At 37.9% G+C, this 27788-nt stretch overlaps 2 long non-coding RNA genes across 2 annotated transcripts in view, besides 4 other annotated features; one reads left to right on the forward strand and one right to left on the reverse strand.

Moving 5' to 3' along the window:
• The window catches only part of LOC105370777 (uncharacterized), a 556255-nt gene that overhangs the window by 344467 nt on the left and 184000 nt on the right, over window positions 1-27788 (reverse strand). The gene's annotated exons all lie outside the window — the stretch shown is intronic.
• LOC124903467 (uncharacterized) lies at window positions 1638-21307 on the forward strand. Its single transcript, XR_007064589.1, has 3 exons — window positions 1638-4908; window positions 5210-5325; window positions 21220-21307. It is a non-coding gene; the product is annotated as an uncharacterized LOC124903467 (long non-coding RNA).
• Window positions 3483-4014: an enhancer, noted in NCBI's record as "H3K27ac hESC enhancer chr15:39504956-39505487 (GRCh37/hg19 assembly coordinates)". NCBI's record gives its function as "activates a minimal SCP1, AML or CMV promoter by ChIP-STARR-seq in primed H9 embryonic stem cells {active_cell/tissue: H9 hESC(primed)}" and the evidence as "EXISTENCE:reporter gene assay evidence [ECO:0000049][PMID:30033119]".
• Window positions 3483-5019: a biological region, named in NCBI's record as "P300/CBP strongly-dependent group 1 enhancer GRCh37_chr15:39505293-39506492".
• Window positions 3820-5019: an enhancer, noted in NCBI's record as "P300/CBP strongly-dependent group 1 enhancer chr15:39505293-39506492 (GRCh37/hg19 assembly coordinates)". NCBI's record gives its function as "activates an origin of replication core promoter dependent on BRD2, BRD4, P300/CBP, MED14 and CDK7 cofactors, with strong dependence on P300/CBP, by STARR-seq in HCT116 cells {active_cell/tissue: HCT116}" and the evidence as "EXISTENCE:reporter gene assay evidence [ECO:0000049][PMID:35650434]".
• Window positions 19888-20057: an enhancer, noted in NCBI's record as "experimental_39382 CRE fragment used in MPRA reporter constructs". NCBI's record gives its function as "activates a minimal promoter by MPRAs in K562 erythroleukemia cells, with activity observed for the non-introgressed 15:39521446 variant allele {active_cell/tissue: K562}" and the evidence as "EXISTENCE:reporter gene assay evidence [ECO:0000049][PMID:34662402]".

Below are 27788 nucleotides of genomic sequence, written 5' to 3' on the forward strand. Positions count from 1 at the left end.
CCTTCTGACTACCTGGGCCTCCCTACAGAAACTCTTAAGAATATATACAGAGGGAAACCCAGGGGGGATATGTATATATGTATGTATGTATGTGTATGTGAATATATGTGCGTATGTACATACACACACATATATGATATATATCCATATATATATAAAAATGTACATAGGATATGTATATATGGATGTATAAAAGGATATATACATACACATATAAGTACACATATTTTTATATATGTGTGTTATCTTTATATCCTTATATGTGTGTGTGTGTGTGTGTGTGTATATATAAGGATATAATAACACACATATATAAAAATATGTGTATATATACATATATATCCTTATATACATCTTTATATATACACATATATATTTTCATATATGTGTGTGGGTTATATATAAGTAACACTATAGATAAAATACTGACTTGTCTGCTCCTCCCACTGGACTCTGAGCTCTGTCATAAAAGGGACACTAGTTCTAAGTCCATCACTATGCTCGCAGTACTTAGAAGAGGGCCTGGTGTAGAGTAGGTGCTCAATATATTTTGAGGTCAGAAAACACAGTTACATTAGGAATGGGAGACTATGAAATAGTTAAGAAGCTTATTATCAGATCTTAAATGAGTCTAGAGCCTCAATAAAATGAGGAGCTCTTAGATGCGGCTCATGATAGTTGAAGTAGAGAACATATGTCATAGGAATCAGGAGGCAAAGAGATTTCATGGCTGAGCATCATAAATATCAAAGTTGAAGTTACTGAGTCATGGTTATATGATTTCTCCTACAAATGTGGCAGCTCAGTCATATTTATGGGTTTGATAATTTTTTAAGCCTTTGAAGAAAATCCTGGTAAGAAAAACTCACCTAACTTCTTGGCCCTGCATTCAAAGATTTGACACACACTATACACATACATATACATATACATATACGTATACGTATACATATACATGGAAGGTGTCAAGACCAGAATTGTACTCTTTGAGACAGAGGTGTCAGTCTAAAAAACCAATTTGAATTGAATGTCAAAGTTCACTTAAGTAGACCTTGGGCTACAATTTATAGAAAATATGCTCCTGCATCTGTAATTCTGCAGTTCAGTTGGGTGTAGAGGACCATCCAAACCAGTTTCTCAGGAGATGCTAATCATGAATTGTAATAGCATTACTGTATTCAGCACATAGACAGCTCCACCCCATTATAAAAGTGAAGTTCACCTCCCTCCCCGTCCCTCTAGCAACTTCCATCTTTTCAGTCTCTCAATTCCCCTACCTGAACTTCTCTCATACAATTCCCAGGCCTATCATCATTCCACACACAGGGAAACACCATAAACCATTGACCATTTTTCTAGAGTCACTTTAAATCAAAGTAATAATTTTTAGCGTATATTCCTCTGACCTCTAGCAATGAAAAATCATGTTAGCTGCGAAAAACCACATAACAGGATTTGAAACAATATATGAATAACTTCCTATGGAAAGAAACTGATTCTTTGACTTTTTTTTTTAACATAATAGCAATAGAAAATAAAAACTCAAAGTGAAAAATATCTAATAGAAAGTTGGAAGGTCCCTTTAAATATAAGAGAAGGCTTTGGCATATTTGGGATTAACATGACAATAATTTTTTTTTTCAAAATTTGGTCCAAGGGTCATAGTAGTCTAAAAATTTTTTTTCTGATATCCCAGATTGCTGGATATTTCTGACATACAAGACTCAATTAGGAAAAGACAAAAGGATCAAAGAAGAGAAAGCAGAATAACACTGACATTGAGAATGACTCTAGATGGGAGATCACCTAAGGATGAAAGCTTTTCTGGCAAACAATATGCAAGTATATTTATACTCTTGCTGCTCATTCCTTTTATTTAAAAACCATTGCAGGAATAAGGTGACATAAATTGTAGACTCCATTAACAATTGTTCTAGGGAACAATTAATACATGTGCCTACTCATATTACACTGAGCAACCAGGTCTACCAGCCATAGTTTTTGAATTCTGACAGCACCAGTTTTAGATATCTGTTCCATAGTGTGTAGGTAGTGTGAAAATACACAACCTATTTTCTTAAATAAATGTTCTGAATGTTTCCATATCATGGAGGTGGTGAGCCAACATAACCAACACTGATATGCAGTTTTTATTCTGAAAAAATGAAAATGAAATTAGTCAAGAGCTGTCAGGAAGAACAAAGAGGTTTCTTGTGGAATTTGTGTGTTAAATACAGCAATGGTTATAACTTTGTTCCTCGTATGAGGTAATGTTTTCCCAGGGATATTTAGTAATATTTAGCCATCAATCAATTGGCATTGCATCAAAAAAAAACACCTGCACTCCCACTAGATTAGCGGTGTGGTTTCCTAATCACATTGACAAAGAGCTAACAAAGCATGTGATATGTGGTGGAAGAGAAAACAGAAAGCTCTGCTTTACATCATACTGTTTAGGTGTGAGGATGGACCCTAATCTGCTTACACTGCATTGAAGCTGAAAGTGCAAAATAAATTCATTATCCTGGACTGGGAGACAGTAGACAAATACATCTCTTGAGAGGACAAATAACTTTACACAGAAAAGGGGATATCATATCATTTAATGAGGCAATAAGAACAACTTTTCAGGAAGACGGCCGGGCAGTGTGAGTTCTCTCATAGACACAGCGGAAGAGGTTTTTTGGTTTTGTTTTGTTTTTTTTGTTGTTGTTGTTGTTTTTTTTTGAGGAGAATGACAGCTTACTTAACAACAGACGTTTCTGTGATTGGAGAGGGAAGAAATGAACTGCTTTGCCGCTATTGCCTGTGATGGGTACAGGAATCCCAAAGCTTTGGGAGATCAGAAGAGATGTCCAATTCCTGCAGGAGATGCTTCACAGACCCCTTAAATCATTGATCATCTTCCCTTTTCATTATGCGATTTGTATCTAAGTCCCTTTACAGTAATTTCAGTGTCTGTTTAATCTTTGAGGTCCCCACAGAACCTATTACAATGTTTTACATATTGTAAGACACACAGTAAGAATTTGTGTATTGTAAGTATTGACCTAATATATCTGCACTTTTAATGTATTCAGTTAAAATATAAATTGTATTTTAAGAATACAGTAAATAAAAGAAATGCTCCTATCAAGGCATTTCTCTATCCTATGTCTATAAGTTTATTCAGATTCAAGTGTGGGAATTTACATTCATCATTAGTTCATCCATTCATTCATGTATAATGGGTACATAGTAATTATCTACTATATGCAAAGATCTCTAAGCCCTATGATGCAATTTAAAAAAATGTTAAAGTGTCTGGGCGCAGTAGCTCATGCCTGTAATCCCAGCACTTAGGGAGGCCAAAGCAGGGGGATCACTTGACCTCAGGCATTCAAGACCAGCCTGGGCAACATGGCAAAACCCCATCTCTACTAAAAGTACAAAAATTAGCCAGGTGTGGTGATGCGTGCCTGTAGTCCCAGCTACTTGGGAGGCTGAGGCAGGAGAAATCGCTTGAGTCCGGGAGGTGGAGATTGCAGTGAGCCGAGATTGCACCACTGCACTCCAGCCTGGGCAACAGAGCGAGACTCTGCCTCAAAAAAAAAAAAAAAAAGAAATGTTAAAGTGAATATCTTCATTAAGAATTTATAATTGAAAATATTTTCCATATTAGTGGAAAATCTCTATTTCAAAATTGATAACTTAATTGAATCTAAACCCAGTTGAATAAGTATTTAATTTGTGCCCACTACATTACATTTTGTTGCCTGCTCTGAATTTTGCCTTCTACTCTAGCATATTCATTAATGGGATTAGAAGGAATAACTTTTTGAGATGGGTGAAATAAGTCCGACCCAAACAGCTTTGAAATAAAACATGGGCCAGTAACAGTTACTTACAACTGTCTTTAGCCAACATGTCCCTGGCTGAAAGGTTCCTTACCATGGCGATGTTTTGGTCCAACAGGACAAATGACCTGTGAGATGTGATGAAGGAGAGAGAGATGAACAAAAAAGAGGTAATGCACAGCCATGGATTTCCCGAAGCCCCTCTCCTTGAGGGCTCTTCTTGTGCTCTGGGGAGATGCGCCACTAAAAGAAAAGGCTAACTGTTCAAGGTGAAAAAACACCACTCCCTAAAAGGAGCAAGACTTGGCTGCATGCAGGTAACACTATGAACTAGATAAGAACATGCTTAAACTCTTCAGAGTAAAAGCATCTATTCAAGGGAAAAGAATGCGGAAGGTCGTGTATGCCCATGACCAGAAATTTAAAGTGTTATGTGGAGCAAGGGGACCTATGCAGAGCTATGTTATGAGCTGAATGTAAAGAATGCAGCTTACAAGTGGCTTAAATTCTTGAGGGACCGGAATGGTTTTGTTCTGGGCAGCCTGATCAATGGGAGCTTGTCTTTGAGCTATTCGCTCAGCAAGTGACTCAGCACTTGTGACGCCCGCTGTGAGACAGGCTATTGGCTGGGGAAGAGAAGATCTTTTCAAGTACATCAGAACGGCTCTGTCTCAGATAACCTTCCCCTGACTTTGTGACTGAGCTTCCAGAAACATGTCAGGGAGTTTCTAGGAAGGAGGCCAGAAATCATGCAGTTAGCAAGGGAGATCCAGCTGTGCCCACCTCAGCCTGAGAGTTTTATTCACTTCTTCTGCAGGGATCATTTTCAGCCGTTCAAAAAGTTTCCTACTGTTTCACCTCGATGGGGACTTTACTTGCTTTTCTGTGCAGGTTCTCTATTAGTTAACATGTTCCTCTACCCCATTTAACTTTTGAAGTGTGGGGCCTCTGAATGAGAAAATGGATTGCGTCTTCCAATATCAAAATGGAGTCCTACTCATGATAAGTAGTTTAACACTTTTCTGAGAGTATTGAGTTGCTTTAGGAAGACCAAGTGATTGGGTTTCAAGAGGTATGGCTTAAATCCCTACTCTGCCAATTATTACTTGTGAGATTTGGGAGGAGGTCACTTTTAAACCTCGCATTCCTCATGTGTAAAATAGGGATAATAATATCTAGCCTATTCATAGTTATTTTGATAACCCCAATGAGATGAACCGTACGAAAAGTGCCACGAAGACGGTAAAGCCCATAGACAAATAGAAATTCTTATTATAACTTTTCTTCTGCATGTATCTACTATCTTTATGTAACTCTTAACCACATTCTACTTTGTATTACAGTGACTTTTAAGTATTTTTCTTTCCCCTCAGAGATACCAAGTTAAAGGAATTCACATCATTATATCTCCCAGAGGACAAAGCCTAGAACTTTCTACATTCAAGTCAGTGAATATTGGGGAGTGGGGAATCCATGAATTCATTATGTGGTAAGTGAAACTCTGTGGCACACAGTTTGTGGTTCTGTCAATTGTTTTCATTGCTTAGATTTAGAAAAAAAAAACAAAACATTTTGAGGGAAAATATCTTCTTTCCTCCTAAAGTAGTAATTTCAGGTGGTATTCCAGAAACTCCCAGACATAAAATGGCCTCAGGAATGTCATATTTCACAGCAATTGCCATACAGAAAAACTCCTCTGCTAAAAACAGCAGTCTGTTTACCCTTTTAAAATTTCACCCACCCTTTCTGCCTCCCTTGTTTATTTTTCCCTAAACCCTAAGGATAGTGATTACTTTCTATAGCTGCTACCCCAACTAAACCACAGAAATCTCTATATTCCTTTTTGAACTCAACTGTTTACCTAGTTGAGAACTCTTTATATTAAATTTCCTTCTTCAAATTACTAGTATGGGTTCTACCACCTGACTGGATTCCACACAGCAGAGCAGGTACTGAGAGGTGCCCCAGTCCTCCCTCTGGAACTATTATCCCAAGAACGCTTCTTCCTAGAAAATGGGATAAAATATCTACATCATATACACATGTCTGGAAAACTCAAGATGCTTTTGGCAAGAGGTCATAACATCTGGCAATATCCCGAAAGAGCTTTTTGAGCAATTAAGAATGTCATCGGAGTCCAGCCCTTACTTTAAATTTCCACAATTTGGGCTTTATAACTACAGTTTGCTTCTTCAAGTATGTTCTTCATTAAACAGAAACACACATTTATGCTCACACGTGTGCCACGTGCATATGAAGCATACATGTTGTATCCATATTTGAAATGTGCAACTTATTCTTTTTTTATAATTTTTCTAATGAAATATGTAAATCTTCATTAAATTTCAGATAAGACTAAGCATATCTTTCCTCACAAAGCAGTGGTTCACCTAGAAGAAACTGGCAGCTCACAAGGGAATCATCCCAGGACAAAGCTGAGGAAATAAACTTTTTATTTTTTTTTATGTTTTTTTTTTTTTATAGTAGAGTGATTCTGGTAGAGAAATATTAGGATTGACCCATTTAATTTATCAAATCATTGTCTTATTATTATCATCATTATTTTTGAGATGGAGTTTCCCTCTTGTTTCCCAGGCTGGAGTGCAATGGCGCAATCTCAGCTCACCACAATCTCTGCCTCCTGGGTTCAAGCGATTCTCCTGCCTCAGCCTCCCGAGTAGCTGGGATTACAGGTATGCGCCACCACGACCGGCTAATTTTGTATTTTTAGTAGAGACAGGGTTTCTTTATGTTGGTCAGGCTGGTCTCGAACTTTCGACCTCAGGTGATCCACCCGCCTTGGCCTCCCAAAGTACTGGGATTACAGGCATGAGCCACCATGCCCAGCCCCACTGTCTCATGAAATTGTTTGTATTTCCCTTTTTGCATAAAGTTTTGTTTTTATTATTGTTATATAAGCTATAAAATGCTAGCCTGATTGATTCTTGCACAAAACTGTGAAGCAGGCAAGGATGACCTTTTCTGCTCATTTTACAAGATAGTGCATACTGGAAAGTTTAAAGGGTTTAGCTGAGATCACACAAATAATAAGAGGCAGAGTTAGAAGCAAAACAGATACTTTCTGTCTCTTTTCCATTCTCCTATGCTGCCTCTTCATGTTTCATTTTTTACATAATAAATCAATATTGTATTTTAAGGACTGGATATTATTAACACATTCTACATACCAGACATTAAGTCGAGTGCTTTTGTATGGATTAAAACCATCTTTTAAAACATCTACTAGGAGATAGCATAATGATTATCCTTATTTTATGGATGAGGCTTAAAGAAAATAGAAAAATTGATCAAGATTTCACAGTTGTTGAGCGCCAGAAGTGAGATCCAAATCCAGACAATCTTAATTTAGCACCAAAATGTTGATGTCCTGCACTATCACACTTCCCTTACTACATAGATATTTGCTGTAAAGAAATGGTGCTGTAAAGAAATGAACAAAAGGAGAAGAGGTCACAGAAGTTTATAATCTAAGTTTTAAGAAATTTGCTGTTCCTTAAGACATAAATAATACAAAGTAAATAAAGTAAATATACAATATAGATATCAATCAAAATGAAAACTGATTTTTGGGAAAAATCATGCAATTCCGTTATTAAGAAATGAAAAATCTAAACTACATGTAAGAGAAATACTAAGTAAACATAAAATTTTAGTCATATAGGTTACAGTTTTGTCTTAAAACACTGCTATTAATCCATTTATTTTTAATTAATCAGTTTAGACACAGCAAAATAAAGGAAAATTCAGGCCAATATTCTTGACGAACATAGATGCAAAAATCCTTCGTAACATACTAGCAAACTGAATCCAGCAGCACATCAAAAAGCTCATCCACCACAACCAAACAGGATTTCTCCCTGGGATGCAAGGTTGATTCAATATATGCAAATCAACAAATGTGACTCATTACTTAAACAGAACTAAAAACAAAAGCCACATGATCACCTCAATGAGTACAGAAAAGACTTGATAAAATTCAACATCACTTCATGTTGAAAACTCTCAGCAAACTAGGCATTGTAGAGACATACTTCAAGATAATAAGAGCCATCTATGAAAAACCCGTGTCCAACATCATACTGAATGGGCAAAAGCTGGAAGCATTCCCCTTGAAAACCAGCATGAGATAAGGATGCAGTATCTCACCAATCCTATTCAACAGAGTTCTGGAAGTCCTAGCTAGAGCAATCAGACAAGAGAAACGTATAAAGGGCATCCACTTTGGAAAGGAAGAAGTCAAATTATCCTTGTTTGCAGATGACACGATCTTACATATGGAAAAACTTAGACTCCCCCAGAAAACTATTAGAACTGAGAAACAAATTCAGTAAAGTTGCAGATATAAAATCAACATACGAAAATCAGCAGCATTTCTATATGCCAACAGTTAACAATGTGAAAAACAACTCAAAAACATAATCTCATTTATAATAGCTATAAATAAAACTAAATGTCTAGGAATTAACATAGCCAAGGAAGTAAAAGGTCTATACACTGAAAACATGAAGCACTGATGAAAGAAATTGAGGGGGATACCAAAAAATGGAAAGATATTCCATGTTCATGGATTGGAAGAATCAATGTTGTTAAAATGTCCATACTACCCAAAGCAATCTACAGATGCAATGCATTCCCTATCAAAATACCCATGACATTCTTCACAGAAATAGAAAAAACAATCTTGAAATTTATATGAAACCACAAAAAAATGAGGATCGCCAAAACTATCCGGAGGGAAAAAAGAACAAAACTGGAAGAATCACATTACCTGACTTCAAATTATACTACAGAGCTATACTAACCAAAGCATGGTACTGGCATAAGAACAGACATACAGACCAAAGGAACAGAATAGAGAACCCAGAAACAAATCTATATACCTACAATGTAATGCAGAACTCATTTTCAACAGAAGTGCCAGCAACATACATTGGAGAAATGATGGCTTCTTCAACAAATGATCCTGGGAAAACTGGATATCCAAATTCAGAGGAATGAAACTTGATGGCTATCTCTCACTATATACAAAAGTCAAATCAAAATGGATTAAAGACTTAAATCTAAGACCTCAGACTACGAAACTACTACAAGAAAAAGTCAGGGATACCTTCCAGAATGTTGGTCTGGGCAAAAATGTCTTGAGTAATATCCCACAAGCACAAGCAACCAAAGCAAAAATGGACAAGTGGGATCATATCAAGTTAAAAAGCTTGTGCACAGTGAAGGAAACAATCAACAAAGTGAAGAGACAACCCACAGAATGGAAGAAAATATTTGCAAATTACCCATCTGACAACAGATTAATAATGAGAATATATAAAGAGCTCCAACAACTTTACAGGAAAAAATCTAATAATCCAAATTAAACATGGGCAAAAGATTTGAATAGACATTTCTCAAAAGAAGACACACGAATGGCAAACAGGGATATAAAAAGGTGCTTGGCATCACTGATGATTATCAGAGAAAAGCAAATAAAAACTACAAAGACACACAATCTCAGCCCAACTAAAACGGTTTTTATTCAAAAGACAGGCAATAAATGCTAGCGAGGTTATGGAGAAAACAGAACCCTTGCACACTGTTGGTGAGAATGTAAATTAGTACAACCACTATACAGAACAGATTAGGGCTTCCTCAAAAAACTAAAAATAGGGCTACCAATATGATTCAGCAATCCCACTGCTAGGTATATAACCAAAAGAAAGGAAATTGGTATATCAAAGAGATATCTGCACCCCCAAGTTTGTTGCAGCACTGTTCAGAATAGCCAAAATTTGCAAGCAATCTCAATGTCCACCAACAGATGACTGGATAAAGAAAATGTGGTACATATACACAATGGAGTACTATTCAGCCATAAAGAATGAGATCCAGTCATTTGCAATAATATGGATGGAACTGGAGATCATTATGTTAAGTGAAATAAGTCAAGCACAGAAAGACAAACTTCACATGTTCTCACTTATTTGTGGTTGCTAAAACTCAAAACAATTGAACTCATGCAGATAGACAGTAGAAGGATGGTTACCAGAGGCTGGGAAGGGTAGCTGGGGGAAGAGGGAGGAGTGGAGATAGTTAATCAGTACCAAAAAATATATGGTTAGAAAGAATGAATAAGATCTAGTATTTGATAGCACAACAGGGTGACTACAGTCAGTAATAATTTAATCATCCATCTTAAAATAACTAAAAGAGTATAATTGTATTGTTTGTAACACAAAGGATAAATGCTTGAGGGGATGGATACCCCATTTTCCACAATGCTATTATTACTTATTGCTTATCTCTATCAAAGTATCTCATGTACCCTAAAAATATATATACCTAATATGTACCCACAAAAATTATTTTAAACAATTTTTTTTAAAAAATCCAAATTTACAAAAAGGTTAAAAAAACCCAGAAATTATAAATATGAAATACTTCTTTCTCTTGATTATTTTGAAAGAAAATTGATTCCTTAAAGCAAAAAAAAAGAAACATTTTAATTGGAGAGTTACAATGTACTTAAAAGCAAATACATGATAACATTAACTAAAGGATGAAATTAACTTTCAATCCTAAAGTTAAATTATATATAACTTTCTCATGTTTATTTGAAGTATTACAACAGTATCTCTAAGTAGAAAGGAATAAGTTAAGCATGCATATTTTAAACCCTAGTGTAATCACTAAATAAACAAATGCAAGAAGTTTTAGCTAAAAAGTCAACAGAGGAGATAGGATGGGATACTAAAATACCTATTTCGTTAGGCCCTAAAAGTCTCCCTAAAAATGAAAGGAAGAACAGAACAACAAAAACATGAGAAAAATATAAAAAAAATAGCAAGCTGTTAGACTTAAACACAACCATGTCAATAATCATATAAAATGAAAATGAAGCACACTTCAGTTAAAAGGTAGAGATTGTTAGATTGGATTTAAAAAATGAGACTCAACATAGGCTCTCTACAACTGCTTAGTTTCATACATAAAGATACAGATAGCTTGAACGTAGCAGGATGAAGGAAGGTTATAACATGCAAACAATAAGTATAAGAATGATAGTGTAGCTACAGTACTTAGTATTGCAATAAAGAAGAGGGAAACATAATGATAATGGAGTCAATCAAGAAAACAACAATCTTAATTGTTCATGTACCTAATAAAAGAGCTTCAAAAGAAATAATGTAAAAACAAACACAACTAAAGGAATAATTAGATAAACCCACAATTATATTTAGACATTTTCACCCCCCACTTATTGATTTATAGGACACCCATTAATGATTTATAGGACAAGTTGACAAAAAAATCAGTAAAGATATAGAAGTTGTTAACAATACTATCAATCTCCTTTATCTAATTGATGTGTATAGAATATCACACTTAACAGAGAAGAATAGTCTTCTCAAGAATATATGTAACATTTACCAAGATAAAAAATGCTGCCCCATTAAAATATAATGTTCAATAAATTTCAAATAATTGAAATCTTGAAAATCAAATCAGAAATCAATATAAATTAGATTCCTACTGAATCCCCAAAGATTTGGAAATCAAACAATACATTTCTAGCTAACCCATAAGCCAAAAAAGAAATCACAAGACAAATTAGAAAATATTTCAAACTAAAAGGCAGTGAAAATACAATACATAAAAATGTGTGTTATGCAGCCAACGGTTAGAGGGAAATTTACAGCTTTTAAATGTTTATATTAGAAAATAAGAAAGGTTTTTAAGTAATGATCTAAGTTCCCACATTTAGAAGCTAGATAAAGCAGAGCACATTAAGTAGAAAAAAGGAAATAGTAAAGATATTGATGAAATAGAAAACAAATGATAGAGAAAATCAATAAAACCAACCTATTCCAAAACTGACCACACAGTTGGAAGTAAAGCTCTCCTCAGCAAATGTAAAAGAACAGAAATTATAACAAACTGTCTCTCAGACCACAGTGCAATCAAACTAGAACTCAGGATTAAGAAATTCACTCAAAACCGCTCAACTACATGGAAACTGAACAACCTGCTCCTGAATGACTACTGGGTACATAACAAAATGAAGGCAGAAATAAAGATGTTCTTTGAAACCAACGAGAACAAAGACACAACATACCAGAATCTCTGGGACACATTCAAAGCAGTGTGTAGCGGGAAATTTATAGCACTAAATGCCCACAAGAGAAAGCAGGAAAGATCCAAAATTGACACCCTAACATCACAATTAAAAGAACTAGAAAAGCAAGAGCAAACACATTCAAAAGCTAGCAGAAGGCAAGAAATAACTAAAATCAGAGCAGAACTGAGGGAAATACAGACACAAAAAACCCTTCAAAAATTAATGAATCCAGGAGCTGGTTTTTTGAAAGGATCAACAAAATTGATAGACTGCTAGCAAGACTAATAAAGAAAAAAAGAGACAAGAATCAAATAGACGCAACAAAAAATGATAAAGGGGATGTCACCACCGATCCCACAGAAATACAAACTACCATCAGAGAATACTACAAACACCTCTACGCAAATAAACTAGAAAATCTAGAAGAAATGGATAAATTCCTAGACACATACACCCTCCCAAGACTAAACCAGGAAGAAGTTGAATCTCTGAATAGACCAATAACAGGATCTGAAATTGTGGCAATAATCAATAGCTTACCAACCAAAAGAGTCCAGGACCAGATGGATTCACAGCCGAATTCTACCAGAGGTACAAAGAGGAATTGGTACCATTCCTTCAGAAACCATTCCAATCGACAGAAAAAGAGGGAATCCTCCCTAACTCATTTTATGAGGCCAGCATCATCCTGATACCAAAGCCAGGCAGAGACACAACCAAAAAAGAATTTTAGACCAATATCCTTGATGAACATTGATGCAAAAATCCTCAATAAAATACTGGCAAACCCAATCCAGCAGCACATCAAAAAGCTTATCCACCATGAACAAGTGGGCTTCATCCCTGGGATGCAAGGCTGGTTCAATATACGCAAATCAATAAATCTAATCCAGCATATAAACAGAACCAAAAGACAAAAACCATATGATTATCTCAATAGATGCAGAAAAGGTCTTTGACAAAATTCAACAACCCTTCATGCTAAAAACTCTCGATAAATTAGGTATTGATGGGACGTATCTCAAAATAATAAGAGCTATCTATGACAAACCCACAGCCAATATCATACTGAATGGGCAAAAACTGGAAGCATTCCCTTTGAAAACTGGCACACGACAAGGATGCCCTCTCTCACCACTCCTATTCAACATAGTGTTGGAAATTCTGGCCAGGGCAATCCGGCAGGAGAAGGAAATAAAGGGTATTCAATTGGGAAAAGAGGAAGTCAAATTGTCCCTGTTTGCAGACGACATGATTGTATATCTAGAAAACCCCATTGTCTCAGCCCAAAATCTCCTTAAGCTGATAAGCAACTTCAGAAAAGTCTCAGGATACAAAATCAATGTGCAAAAATCACAAGCATTCTTATGCAACAATAACAGACAAACAGAGAGCCAAATCATGAGTGAACTCCCATTCACAATTGCTTCAAAGAGAATAAAATACTTAGGAATCCAACTTACAAGGGACATGAAGGACCTCTTCAAGGAGAACTACAAACCACTGCTCAAGGAAATAAAAGAGGATACAAACAAATGGAAGAACATTCCATGCTCATGAGGAAGAATCAATATCGTGAAAATGGCCATACTGCCCAAGGTAATTTATACATTCAATGCCATCCCCATCAAGCTACCAATGACTTTCTTCACAGATTTGGAAAAACTACTTTAAAGTTCATATGGAACCAAAAAAGAGCTCGCATCGCCAAGTCAATCCTAAGCCAAAAGAACAAAGCTGGAGGCATCACGCTGCCTGACTTCAAACTATACTACAAGGCTACAGTAACCAAAACAGCATGGTACTGGTACCAAAACAGAGATATAGATCAATGGAACAGAACAGAGCCCTCAGAAATAATGCCGCATATCTACAACTATCTGATCTTTGACAAACCTGAGAAAAACAAGCAATGGGGAAAGGATTCCCTATTTAATAAATGGTGCTGGGAAAACTGGCTAGCCATATGTAGAAAGCTGAAACTGGATCCCTTCTTTACACCTTATACAAAAATTAATTCAAGATGGATTAAAGACTTAAACGTTAGACCTCGAACCATAAATACCCTAGAAGAAAACCTAGACATTACCATTCAGGACATAGGCATGGGCAAGGACTTCATGTCTAAAACACCAAAAGCAATGGCAACAAAAGCCAAAATTGACAAATGGGATCTAATTAAACTAAAGAGCTTCTGCACAGCAAAAGAAACTACCATCAGAGTGAACAGGCAACCTACAAAATGGGAGAAAATTTTCGCAACCTGCTCATCTGACAAAGGTCTACTATCCAGAATCGACAATGAACTCAAACAAATTTACAAGAAAAAAACAAACAACCCCATCAAAAAGTGGGCGAAGGATATGAACAGACACTTCTCAAAAGAAGACATTTATGCAGCCAAAAGACACATGAAAAAATGCTCATCATCACTGGCCGTCAGAGAAGTGCAAATCAAAACCACAATGAGATACCATCTCACACCAGTTAGAATGGCAATCATTAAAAAGTCAGGAAACAACAGGTGCTGGAGAGGATGTGGAGAAATAGGAACACTTTTACACTGTTGGTGGGACTGTAAACTAGTTCAACCATTGTGGAAGTCAGTGTGGCGATTCCTCAGGGATCTAGAACTAGAAATACCATTTGACCCAGCCATCCCATTACCGGGTATATACCCAAAGGACTATAAATCATGCTGCTATAAAGACACATGCACACGTATGTTTATTGTGGCACTATTCACAATAGCAGAGACTTAGAACCAACCCAAATGTCTAACAATGATAGACTGGATTAAGAAAATGTGGCACATATACACCATGGAATACTATGCAGTCATAAAAAATGATGAGTTCATGTCCTTTGTAGAGACATGGATGAAATTGGAAATCATCATTCTCAGTAAACTATCGCAAGGACAAAAAACCAAACACCACACGTTCTGACTCATAGATGGGAATTGAACAATGAGAACACATGGACACAGGAAGGGGAACATCACACTCTGGGGACTGTTGTGGGGTGTGGGGAGTGGGGAGGGATAGCATTAGGAGATATACCTAATGCTAAATGACAAGTTAATGGGTGCAGCACACCAGCATGGCACATGTATACATATGTAACTAACCTGCACATTGTGCACATGTACCCTAAAACTTAAAATATAATAATAATAATAATACTAAAACCAACAGTTGGTTCTTCAATGCTATTAATCAAATTGACAAACATCTAGCAAGACTGATCAAGGTGAAAGAAAAAAGCATGCCTTTCCAATATCAGAAATGAAAGAGAATGTATCACTGCAGATCCTGCACATAATAAAAAGTATAATAAATAGATGTTATAAACAACCCTGTGGAATAAGTTGGATGACTTAGATGAAACCGATAAGTTCCTTGAAAACAACTTAACCAAGCAGACAAAAGAAGAAATAGAAAATCTGAATAGCTGTATACCTATTAAAAAAATTGAACTTGTCACCAAAATTTTTTTTACAATGAAGGTAATTATTAGAATTTAAATGGTAAGAGAACTCCACAAGGTTATTGCAGACAAGTTGAGTGGATGAATTTTGGAAACTGAGCAGGATTAAAATGAGTGGTCCCTGGCAAGGTGAGTGTATTGAGTATCTGTCATTTGCCCTTTCTTTCTCCAACTTGTTCTCTGCCCCATAAGATTTTATTCATCACTTTGGGAGGGCGAGGCGGGCAGATCATGAGGTCAGGAGTTCGAGACCAGCCTGGCCAACATGGTGAAACCCCATCTCTATTAAAAATACAAAAATTAGCTGGGCATGGTGGCAGGTGCCTGTAATCCCAGCTACTTGAGAGGCTGAGGCAGGAGAATTGTTTGAACCCGGGAGGTGGAGGTTGCAGTGAGTCGAGATTGCACCATTGAACTCCAGCCTGGGCAAAAAGGCGAGACTCCATCCCAAAAAATAATAAAATGTAATCATAGGTTATGTCAACAGCACTATTGCCCTCTTGCTTTTCATCAGTGTCAGACCATGGGAAGTAGTGACAGAAGTCTGAAGAGGAGAGTAAATTAGAGTATTTATTCCACTGGTTCCTTCCCTGCAGGGCCAAGCCTGGCTGGCTGATCCCTCGAATCTGAGAACACAATTCCTGTCAGCTGGCCCTCTCCACACAGTACTCTCTGCCTCAGGTCCTAGTAACCTTTGCCTTGCCTCACCCCTTGCGGCCTGGAGATAGTAGCAGTACTACCATTTGCTTAACCTTCTGAACTATTCTTTGTCATTTTTTGACATGCTACCCATACCTTTGTAAATAACTCCCTTTATCAAATTCTCTTTGTATTGCCTATTTTTACTATCCTGTACGTTTCTTGATAGAATCCTAATTGATAGAGTTGATAAGAGATTAAGGCTTAATCCAAAGCCATGAATAATTTCCAAAATAATATTTTGGGGTTGCTCTCATGAAGAAAAATAATAAACAATTATAATAATCCACTTTCAAATCACAGGAAGCAAATCAGAAGGGTGAGAGCAGGAGAAAGGCAGGCTTAGCGTATAAGACAGCATGTTGCAGAGGGAGAGTTCCCAAATGTGATCCTCTCAATATCCCTCCTGTTCCAATGCGAAAGGTGTTTGGGGTGCAAAAGACATTGGTATTTGTTGTACCCATAAATGATTAATGTTTCCTGCTGAACCAGCCTGGGCAACTTAGTGAGATCCTGTCTCTACAAGAAAAAATTAAAAATCAGCTGGGAATGGTGGCATGCACCTGCAGTCTCAGCTATTCAGGAGGCTGATGTGGGAGAATTGCTTGAGCCTAGGAATTCGAGGTTATGGAGAACTATGATGGTGCCACTGCATTTCAGCCCAGGTGACAGAGTGAGATCCTGTCTCAAAAAAAAAAAAAACAAAAAACTTAAAAACTGATGTTATAAAAATAAACTATTTATCATGCTACATAGGATTCCCTAGGTATTTTTGTTTTTTCTCATAGGTCTGGAGATCAATCTTGGATACTGCCAAGAGATAGGAAAAACCAAACTGTTTTTCCCACTCTCACACTCACGTTTCCAATATCAGAAAGCACACCTTTCAACATAGAACACTTCTAACAACAGGTGTCATACTAGGAGAGCAGGGAGTTTCCCCACACACCAAGCAACTCTCCAGCTGGACTCCAGCTGGGTGTCCTACAATTTAACTCAACTCCGATGCTATTTACCTGGCATTAGATTCCACAGGTGATATGGTTTGGCTGTGTCCCCACCCAAATCTCATCTTGAATGTAGTTCCCATAATCCCCAAGTGTCATGGGAGGCACTGGGTAGGAATGAGAAAATAGGAATAAATAGTTTACCCCCATGCTGCTGTTCTCATGATAGTGAGTGAGTTCTCCTGAGATCTGACTGTTTTATAAGGGGCTTTCTCCCCTTTTGCTCAGCACTTCTCCTTGCTGCCTCCATGTAAGGAAGGACATGTTTGCTTCCCCTTCTGCAATGACTGTAACCTTCCTGAGGCTTCCCCAGCCATGCTGAACTGTGAGTCAGTGAAACCTCTTTCACTTATAAATTACCCAGTCTCAGGTATGGCTTTATCAGCAGCATGAGAACAGACTCACAAGTCTCACAGTCCCACAAGTGGGCTCAGATTTGTGGGCTCAGTCCCACAAGTCTCACAAAACTGCTCCCACCTCAGAGGCCAACAGCCAGCCCCAGGTTGTGACCTGTGCTTCTGGCCAGCCAACTATAATTCAGGGTTCCCACGACCCACTCCTTGGGTTTTATAATTTGCTAGGGTGGCTCACCAGAACTCAAGGAAAAACATTTCTACTTTTATTATAAAGGATATTGCAAAGGATACAGATGAACAGTCAGATGGAAGAGATACACAGGGCAAGGTATGGGGGAAGGGGCATGGAGCTTCCATGCCTGCTCCAGGACACACCATTTGCCCAGCACCTCCTTGTGTTCAGCAACCTGGGAGTTTGCCAAACCCTGTAGTTCAGAGATTTCTGTGGCAGCTTCATTACGTAGGCATGATCAATTATTAATTCAACCTCCAGCCTCTCTCCCCTTCATGGAGGATGGTGGGTGGGGGTGAAACTTCTGGTCATGGCTTGGTCTTTCTGGTGACCAGCTCTCACCCCAAAGACCACCAAAAATTGCCTCACTGAAACAAGAGACACTCCTATCACCCAGGAAATTCCAAGGGATTAGGAGCTCTATGTCAGGAACCAGGGTCAAAGATCAAATATTAGAACCAAAGATGCACCTAGCACCCCTATCACTCAGGAAATTATAAGAGTTTTAAGAATACTGTGCCAGATAGTAGGGGCAGAGACCAAATATATATTTCTTATTATATCACAATATCACAGATACTAATTATATGTAGAAAACTTCATATTAACTCCAGAAGTTAGAAACGTAACAACAGTAAGATCTCAAGAAAAATGAAAGAGACAATAAAGACAAAACCAGAAATTAAGGAATGAGAAAATAGGAACAAGGAGAGTGGAAAAATAAATTCAGGACATGAATAATAAATACGAGTTTGCTCAAGAAAAAAATCAAATAATTACACAAAAGTAAAATTGTGAAAGACAGCATAATCAAAGACACAGAGGATATATAAGGAATTACTCTACTCACATAAATTGAAGATACGGGTGAAATAATTTTTAAAATTTAATTTATCGGCCGGGCGCGGTGGCTCACGCCTGTAATCCCAGCACTTTGGGAGGCCGAGGCGGGTGGATCATGAGGTCAGGAGATCGAGACCATCCTGGCTAACAAGGTGAAACCCCGTCTCTACTAAAAATACAAAAAATTAGCCGGGCGCGGTGGCGGGCGCCTGTAGTCCCAGCTACTCGGGAGGCTGAGGCAGGAGAATGGCGTGAACCCGGGAAGCGGAGCTTGCAGTGAGCCGAGATTGCGCCACTGCAGTCCGCAGTCCGGCCTGGGCGACAGAGCGAGACTCCGTCTCAAAAAAAAAAAAAAAAAAAAAAAAAAAAAAAAAAAAAAAATTTTAATTTATCAAGAAAGACTATAGAAGATGTAGAAAACCTGAATATACCACAATTCTCCGTTGATAAATTTCAGGAAGAGAACAGTGGAGAAGGTGGTAAGAAAAATATAATTATAAGCTATTAGTTAATCAGACAAAAGAAAGGCAATTAGAAACTCTAGGAGGAAGAAAAAAAGAAGCTGCACTTCAAGGTTACACAAGTAAAATGAACAAAAAGAGAATTTTTAAAAGTTGAGGCTTGTAACATTCTCATTTGTGTGGCATAGGTTTACAACATGGTATTACATTCCCAAATCTGCAGGTTTAATTAGCTCATTTTGAACAATAGTTTGAAATTAAAACATTACAACTTCTATTTATTGGCTTTCAATTTTCAAGATCCATGTAAGGGAAAGCACAGAACCCTTAGGTACAAAAAGGACTTTGAGAGAATAAAAGTGTTGCTAGATTGATGAATTTAGAGGGGTGTTAATTACTTCTTCCTACATATTGGGAATTAAAAGATAGTATCTAATATAAATAGCTTAAGAAATAAAAGTTAACAAAATATTGAATTACTTGATTAAATTAATAAATTAATTTTTAAAAAATTAACAATGGGAATGTGGGGAGGAAAAGGGCACATAAATGATTTAAATTCTTACTCTTCTGTAACTAGAATGGATATTAAAAATGAATAAATCAAGAAATAGAGATAAGTGCTTATTTTCTTAGAATGATGTGTCAATGATGTTTAAATGGAATAGCTTTCAGGGAGATGAACTAAAGAGGTACAGGGAGGTAAAAATGACCTAGCCCTTTTGCCCTCCAGTCCCTTCTGCCATCCCAGGATATATGGACAGCACCATCTGTGAGGGATGGGCCTTCACCAGACACCAAACCTGCTGGTACATAGATCTTGGACTTCCTAGCCTCCAGAATTGCAAGAAATAAATTTCTTTTATTTATAAATTCCTCAATCTCAGATACTCTATTATAGTAGCGAAATGGACTAAGACAATGGCAAAGATTTTAAAACTGCATATTAGTTGGCAAATATCAAATTGTTAATTAGCAATATAAAATTATATTGGAGAGCCTACAGAAAAATAAGAATTTTCATACACCAATAATATCAATGCAAATTTTTGGAGGACAGTTTTTGTCAAACTTTAAAAAACATGTGTGACCCAACAATTCCACAATTTTAGGAATGTATATAAAGATAAGTGTGCAAGGAAGTTCACTGTGGTATTGTTTGCAAGTTGAAAGAAACCAAAAAAAAAAGAAAAGAACAGCAGCAACAGGGTTAAAATAAACCTACGTTGTCTCCAATAGGGGACAGGTTTAATAAATTTCAGTACATTCACCCAATGGCATATTTCCTAGCATTAAAAATAATAAAGAAAATCACACTCCGGTAGTACAAACAGCCCATAAAACATTGGTAAATAAAAATGTTTCCAGGCAATTTTGTATAATATTAATCCATTTGTGTAAAAAAATTCTGGAATATTGTAAATATATAGAAAGTATATGGAGACAAAAAATGTTATTCAAATTACCAGTAAATCTAAATCTAGGGAAATTGGGGAGGAGACACTTTTACTTTTTACTTCATATAATTTTCTATCTTTATTTTTCCCAACAGCTGTTTATTACGTTTTATTAAAGTATTTTTTAAAAATCTCAGTGAAGAGCTGTGAAATGCCAAATTAAACAAATTATGTTGCCTATATATTGCTTGGCAGCACTGACCCTCCCCAGCATCTAGCACAATGACTGGCGCATAGCAAATATTCAAGCAATATTCTCTGATTAGATGATAAATGAATAAATGAAGGATTGAAACCTGAAGGATTCAGCCCTGTATCTATTTTTCTCTCATTCTAAAGCCATTTTACTGTTATTAAGTTTGAGAAAAGCCAATTCTCAAATAAAATGAAAACACATTTATCATCATTTATGTTTTAAAGAAAGTGCGGCTCTCAAATCCAAGCTCTTATGTATTCATTTTTAAAAAATATTTTTGATCCTGTTTGGGTTCCCTTGCTCACAAACCCAGGTCAGGTACACACTTGAAATCCCTGGGAAATAGGCTCCTGATTAAATGAAAGCCCTTAGGAAATGTTTACAAAGAGGTAGTTCAGGAGACAGAATAGCACTGGAGAAAAATTGGTCCGTTTCCATTTTAGAAGTATGCAGAGATGAGAAAGAACATGTGGCCAGTAACGTGTTCAGCCTTCTCAGTATTCATTGTTTCCTTGCAGGAGGCAATTTTAATTCAGAAGATGGAAACCAGCATAATATAGATCTGTCGTGGCTTCAGCATCAGGAAACAACACACTGATCATGACATCAAACTCCAGAGGAAGCCGGCTAAGGATGTGCTTGTTTTGATGTGACATGTGCCTGCGATGATTAACTCTCATGCTCCCACAATCTCTCCAGGGCCCCAGACTTGGTCCTTCCTCGCCTGTAAACAGGATCAGGATGCATCCTGGAGTTCAGCCAAGGGCATCTGGCCTTGGGTAAGACAGACTCCACAAAACACATACATTGTTCCTGGCAAGGGAACCACGAGGGAAGGAAAAGGAGAGAAGGAAGGCAGCATGGGACACTGACATCCATCCACGTATGACAAATCACATCAGATGCAACTGAGCACATGCAACTCAGAGGGAAAAGACAGGAATAGGCCCATGGAACACATTCACCTTCTACATGATCAACAGCTTCGGGAAAGCAATACAGCCAAGTGCCAAGTGAGAAAAAGGGAAAAGCATGTAAAATGAATGAAATGTTGACTGCAATGGAAGACATTTTAGACTGTTCTTGTTACATAACAAAGAGAGGGAGGAAACCATGCTGGGAGGAGACATTGGGAGAGACCTGCCAACAGACCTCCAAATGCATATTCAAATGGTGTTTCAAAGCACTTCTTTGGGCTTAAGTCTTTTTACCTATAAGATGGATTTTAATGTTTCCATTAAAAATGGAAACTGTATTGATTAGGTATATGTTTTTAAATTTTATTATTAACAGAAACAAGGTTTTGTTCCAATACCCAGGGTGGAGTCCAGTGGCACAATCACAGCTCACTGCAGCCTCAAACTTCTAGACTCAAGACATCATCCCGTCTCAGCCTCCTGAGTAGCTGGGACTACAGGTGTGTGCCACCATGCCAGACTAGTTTTTTAAAAAAATTCTGTAGAGATGGAGCCTTGATAACTTGTGCAGGCTGATCTCAAACTCCTGGCCTCAAGTGATCTTCCTGCTTTGCCCTCCCAAAGCACTGAGATTATAGGCCTGAGCCACCATGCCTGCTTAATTATCTTTTTCCAAGGCACTGGCCAGGCCACTTTGTAAAAAAGAAAAAAAAAAGTAGGTCAGTATATTAACAGACATTGTAGGTCAGTCTTGCTTTAAAAAATTATACTTCTAAAAGAAGAAAATTATTGTCATCCTGGAAATTGGTTCCAGAAGAAAAGGGAGAGAAGTTATGGGGGCAAATGACAATTGCCAGAGGCAAGGTGATGTCCCATTTATGTCGGAGAATGAAATATTTGTACTGTGCAATAACAGCCAAAAATTCAATTGGAAAAGGGTAGCCTTTGACATGAGTAACTGGTTTGGCAGACTTTTTCTGAGATTGAGATGACCATGCAGGACAGTATTGGGCATCAGGTAAACAGCTCCTTAGATATGTGACAATCAGTGAGAGATGGCACTGGGCAGAAATAAAAGTAGCCTCAGAACTTCCTGAGTTCTGTCTATAAAAGCCTAAAAGCATTGCTTAGGTGCCAATCAATCTAATAATATATATGCTACTTGTACCTTCTTGTACATTTAGTATCATGAGGATTAGTTACTGCTGTAAGTTTAAAAATGTGATTGTTGGAAGAGAGATTACAGGTAAGGTCTGGCAGTAAGGGGACAGTGGGCAAGAGAGAAACCAGAACACCCACCTTATAACCCTGACCAGTGGGCTTCCTACAACATTCACTTAAGCAAATTATCAGTGATGCAAAACTGAGCCCCTCTTATATGCTACCGTTTATGCAGGGTGAACTTCTAAATCTAGGTTCTCATCTTTCTGTGCCAACAAGTACGTGTGAGTGGAAAATATTCTAAGATATTAGTTTTTATTTTTCTCTCTGAATTTCCCCTTCCCCCTTAATCAGTCTAACAGCAGGCTTTGTGTTTCAGTGCCTCAGGGAGAGATGTGACTGAGCAGAAATAAAAGTAGCCTGCAAAACTTCCTGAATTATATCTTCAAAAGCCTAAGATCATTAAGGAAGAGAGAGTTTGGAGAAAATAGCATGGAGGTTTGAAAAAAGCAGATGAGAGAGAGGAGTTTTGCCCTTCAACTAACAGAGAGGAATCTCCTGCCAGAGGCAGGGTTGCAGGACTCAGGCCTCTTCTTGGTGTGGCATATTCCCAGAATTGATCCCCAGCTGTCTCTGGGGGATGAGTCAATGGCCACTGAGAGTTCCTGCCTTCAAGAACATTCCTGTGTGTTGAGAGTGGCAGGAGCAGTGGAGATCCCCAGGCCTGAAACGTGATGTTGATGGGGACCACAGAACAGAGTAGCCGGGAGAGTGCACAGAGCATAACCAGCACCCTGATGCCTGATGCTTGGCCATGGGCGATTCTGCAGCATTGGCATGCCATCCGTCAGAGTGGTGACAAAGACTCTCTCCTTTACCAAACTCTAGTCAGGCCCCTCTGAGCCCTCTTCTCCACTAGACCTCAACTTCAGCCTATAAAAACTACAGAAACTACAAAAACTACTCTCCATATAAATGATTTTGTCCACAGCCCCTGGTGCGCGCACACACACACACACACACACACACACACACACACACACACACTGACACTGGCTAGCATAGTTTCTAACAACTCAAGCTCATGTCCCTAGAATGACAGCTCTACCTTCTTTAAATTCCTGCCTGGGAAAGCTCAAGGCTGCCAAAAGAACTGACTGCTTCTCCAACACCTGAAGATGTGCTGGTGTTGTCTCCCCATCTCCCAGTCCCTGTAGGAGGTTAGGAGCCTAATTTCCCTAAGTGCCAGTTAAGAAAGCCAAATGACCTAATAGCATTGACAGATTTGCCTTCCTGCTTTTTGAGAATTTCCACTTCCCTGATTCTACTCAAGTCCCCACTGTTCCCGTGTCCTACTTTCTCATTCTCCCCTTAAGAACACCACACCCAATCCCATTACTGGGTATATACCCAAAGGATTATAAATCATCCTACTATAAAGACACATGCACATGTATGTTTATTGCAGCACTGTTCACAATAGCAAAGACTTGGAACCACCCCAATGCCCATCAATGTTAGACTGGATAAAGAAAATGTGGCACATACACACCATGGAATACTATGCAGCCATAAAAAAGAATGAGTTCAGGTCCTTTGCAGGGACATGGATGAAGCTGGAAACCATTGTTCTCAGCAAACTAACACAGGAACAGAAAACCAAATACCGCATGTTCTCACTCGTAAGTGGAGGTGAACAATGAGAACATATGGGCACAGGGAGCGGAACATCACACACTGGGGCCTGTCAGGGGGTGGGAGGCAAGGGGAGGGATAGCATTAGGAGAAATACCTAATGTAGATGATGGGTTGATACGTGCAGCAAACCACCATGGCACATGTATACCTATGTAACAAACCTGCACATTCTGCACATGTACCCCATAACTTAAAGCATAATAAAAATAAAAAATAAAAAAAACTAAAAGAGTATTGTTTGTAACACAAAGAAAGAATAAATGCTTAAGGTGATGGAGACCCTTACTTACCCTGATGTGATTATTATGCATTGTATTCCTATATCGAAATAGCTTATGTATCCCATAAATATATACACCTGTGTACCCACAAAAATTAAAAATTAAAATAATTAGAAGCTAAAAAAAAAAAAACCCAATCACCTCTACAAGAATCAAAGTTGAGCTTAGTTCACACTGGGCGCTCTTCCTTATTTTAATAGTTATTACTGATTAAAATCTGTCCTTACCGCTTCAACTAGTGCCTGGGTTTTATTACTTTTGACAGAGGTGACACCAAACATGACTGAGGTAAAGAGGATTCAATCTACTACCAGATTCCCATCAATTTAGCCAGACAAAAAGAATCAGATGTGAAATTAGGTTGATTTTTAGAAAATAAGTACGTGTGTTATTCTTTTGCACACCTGATCCTGTAGACTGAGACTCATACCCCACAACTGATATGCTAAGAATATGAGTACTAATGTTACCATTCAGCTTGTGGAAATGCAATTAAGAAGACAATTGGATGGAGAGAAATTATACTATGTGAAGCAAACTGAATTCAAAGATGACTTTTATATGAGCTGTACCAGTGGTCCCCAGCATCACTGATAAATAATGGCAGCCTAAAACCTCCATCAATGATAGCAGAGAAATTAATGAACCATTAAATCAGCATGTGCATTCTACCTTTGGAGAAAACTTTGATTCTGATGACTGGAATCCATACCATTAATATGAGCCTCTTACAAGTCCTAGGATAAGAGATATTTTGCTGGTGTTTAAATATTGTATTTTGATGGTGGTCAGGTTGTCTGATAACTGTGAATTCCTTAGGGCTTTCAGGACATGTAAAAAATGCTGAAACACATATTTAAATGTATATCTTGTTATATCCTAAGATCTTGGACAATTAGGAGGGCTGCTTGGGAAGCTCTTTTTAAATATTCTCAATGCTCTTCCTCTGCAGAAAGAACCCCCCAGGTCCTTCAAGGACAATAAGAAAAAGAGGATTTGCTTCTGTGGCCTTTCTGCCCAACAGACAGGAGAACATTTTAGAACTTAAAGCAGACATGATTTAACGACATTATGCAATTTGATTATGGAAGGAAAAGCTGGGTTTCTACTCCATCCCTTGAAATCCAGCCTTTTCACACATGCATTCTAGCTTTCCTAAACAATTCAAAGTGAAACTTCTTTTTTTTTTTTTTTTTAATCCATTCCTGGTCAGTGTAAGGACTGAATCATTCTGAGACACAGAGTCAGGTCAGTTCACTTTGTAAAAGTGAACTGTCTTTTACAAAGATGACTAAGAGATACTTATCATGTATTTGACAAGTTTCTTTACGCTTCAGAGCCCAATTCAGCCCAAGCCTGTCTTGATCAATATAGTTCTTAAAAAATAGATCCAACATTGATATGGTTTGGCTCTGTGACCCCACCCAAATCTCATGTCCAGTTGTAGTTCCCAACGTTGAGGAAGGGGCCTTGTGGGAGGTGACTAGATCATGGGAGCAGATTTCCCCCTTGCTGTTCTCATGATAGTGAGTGAGTTCTTACGAAATTTGGTTGCTTGAAAGTGTGTAGTACTTCCTTTACCCTCTCTCTCTGCCACTCCACTATGTGAAGAAGGTGCTTGCTTCCCCTTCGCCTTCTGCCATGTCTAAAAGTTTCCTGAGGACTCCCCAGCCATGCTTCCTGTACAGCCTGTGGAACTGTGAGTCAATTAAACCTCTTTTTTTCATAAAGTACCCAGTCTCAGGTAGTTCTTTATAGCAGTGTGAGAATGGACTAATACAAACATTTAAAATGTTTATTTTAAACATCTAGATTTATGACTTTGAAAAAAAATCAGGAGATCCAACAAAAGGAAGTAGCAGCCCATCATCCCTAGATGGAACGCATGACTTCTAATTTACCCCAGACCAGGACACTTCCTAATGCTCTCCAGCAATGACACAAAGCCACTCCCTCAAAGTCATTATTGGCTAGGCCCCTTGCACATGAGGTTTACCTGGTGTGGTAGTATCTCCCCCAAGAATAGGCCAGCACTCAGGAACTACTTCCTCCCCACAAATGGACTCTGCTTTAATCTACTTCATAGTCCCAATACAGTTAACAAAAAAGGGTCTTTCTAGCTGCCTTAATAAAATGAGACACACATGAGGAGAGAGTTATTTAAAAATTGTTTTTGAGCTTTAGGTTGGCTTAGCTTTCCTGGAATGTCTAATTTAGCTCAGGAAGTGCCTCCAACATTTTTAAGAATATCAAGGACAGAAAAGCTCAACTCAGCCATTTCCAGGGCTCTACATATCCCTCAGGCTCCTTACAGGGTTAAGGGAGACTGCACTATCCCAATAGGACCCCAGGAGGCCTGTCATCCTGCCATTGAGTTACCATTTGTTCCCTGGCTGATAAGAAACTGCATTGAAGTACTAGTAGAATTTTCAGAGTCCTAAAGAACTGGGAGAGTATTCCCCTCAACTCTGTAACACATCAGTGAGAGGGGTGGGTATAAATAGAGTTTGGAGTTCTAAAGACCTTGATTGAAAACTGACTCAGCACTTTTAGTTGGGTGACCTTGGGGAAGTCATTCTTTTTGAACATTGGTTTAAATTATTTTGTAGTGTGGTAGAGGAAAGGGAGAGACAAATTAAACAAATGAATGAGTAAGATTTCTGAGCTTCAGTTTCCCCAAATCAACAAAATAATATACATATTACAGAACTCTTGTGAATTCAAATGCATCTATAAAGTGCCTAGAACAAAGCCTAAATCACAACTCAGTAAATTATAGTTTTTATGTTATATACTTTAATTCCTGAATGAATGTAGAAACATGAATTCTGTAACTTCTTGAAGTCTGATATGGTTAGGCTTTGTGTCCCCACCCAAATCTCATCTTGAATTATATTCCCTATAATCCCTACATGTCAAGGGAGAGACCAGGTAGAGACAGTTGGATTATGGGGGCAGTTTCCCCCATGCTGTTCTTGTGATAGTGATTGAGTTCTCACAAGATCTGATGGTTTTATAAGGGGCTCTTCC

Source organism: Homo sapiens, chromosome 15, assembly GCF_000001405.40.
Source record: "Homo sapiens chromosome 15, GRCh38.p14 Primary Assembly".
Lineage (NCBI taxonomy): Eukaryota > Metazoa > Chordata > Mammalia > Primates > Hominidae > Homo > Homo sapiens.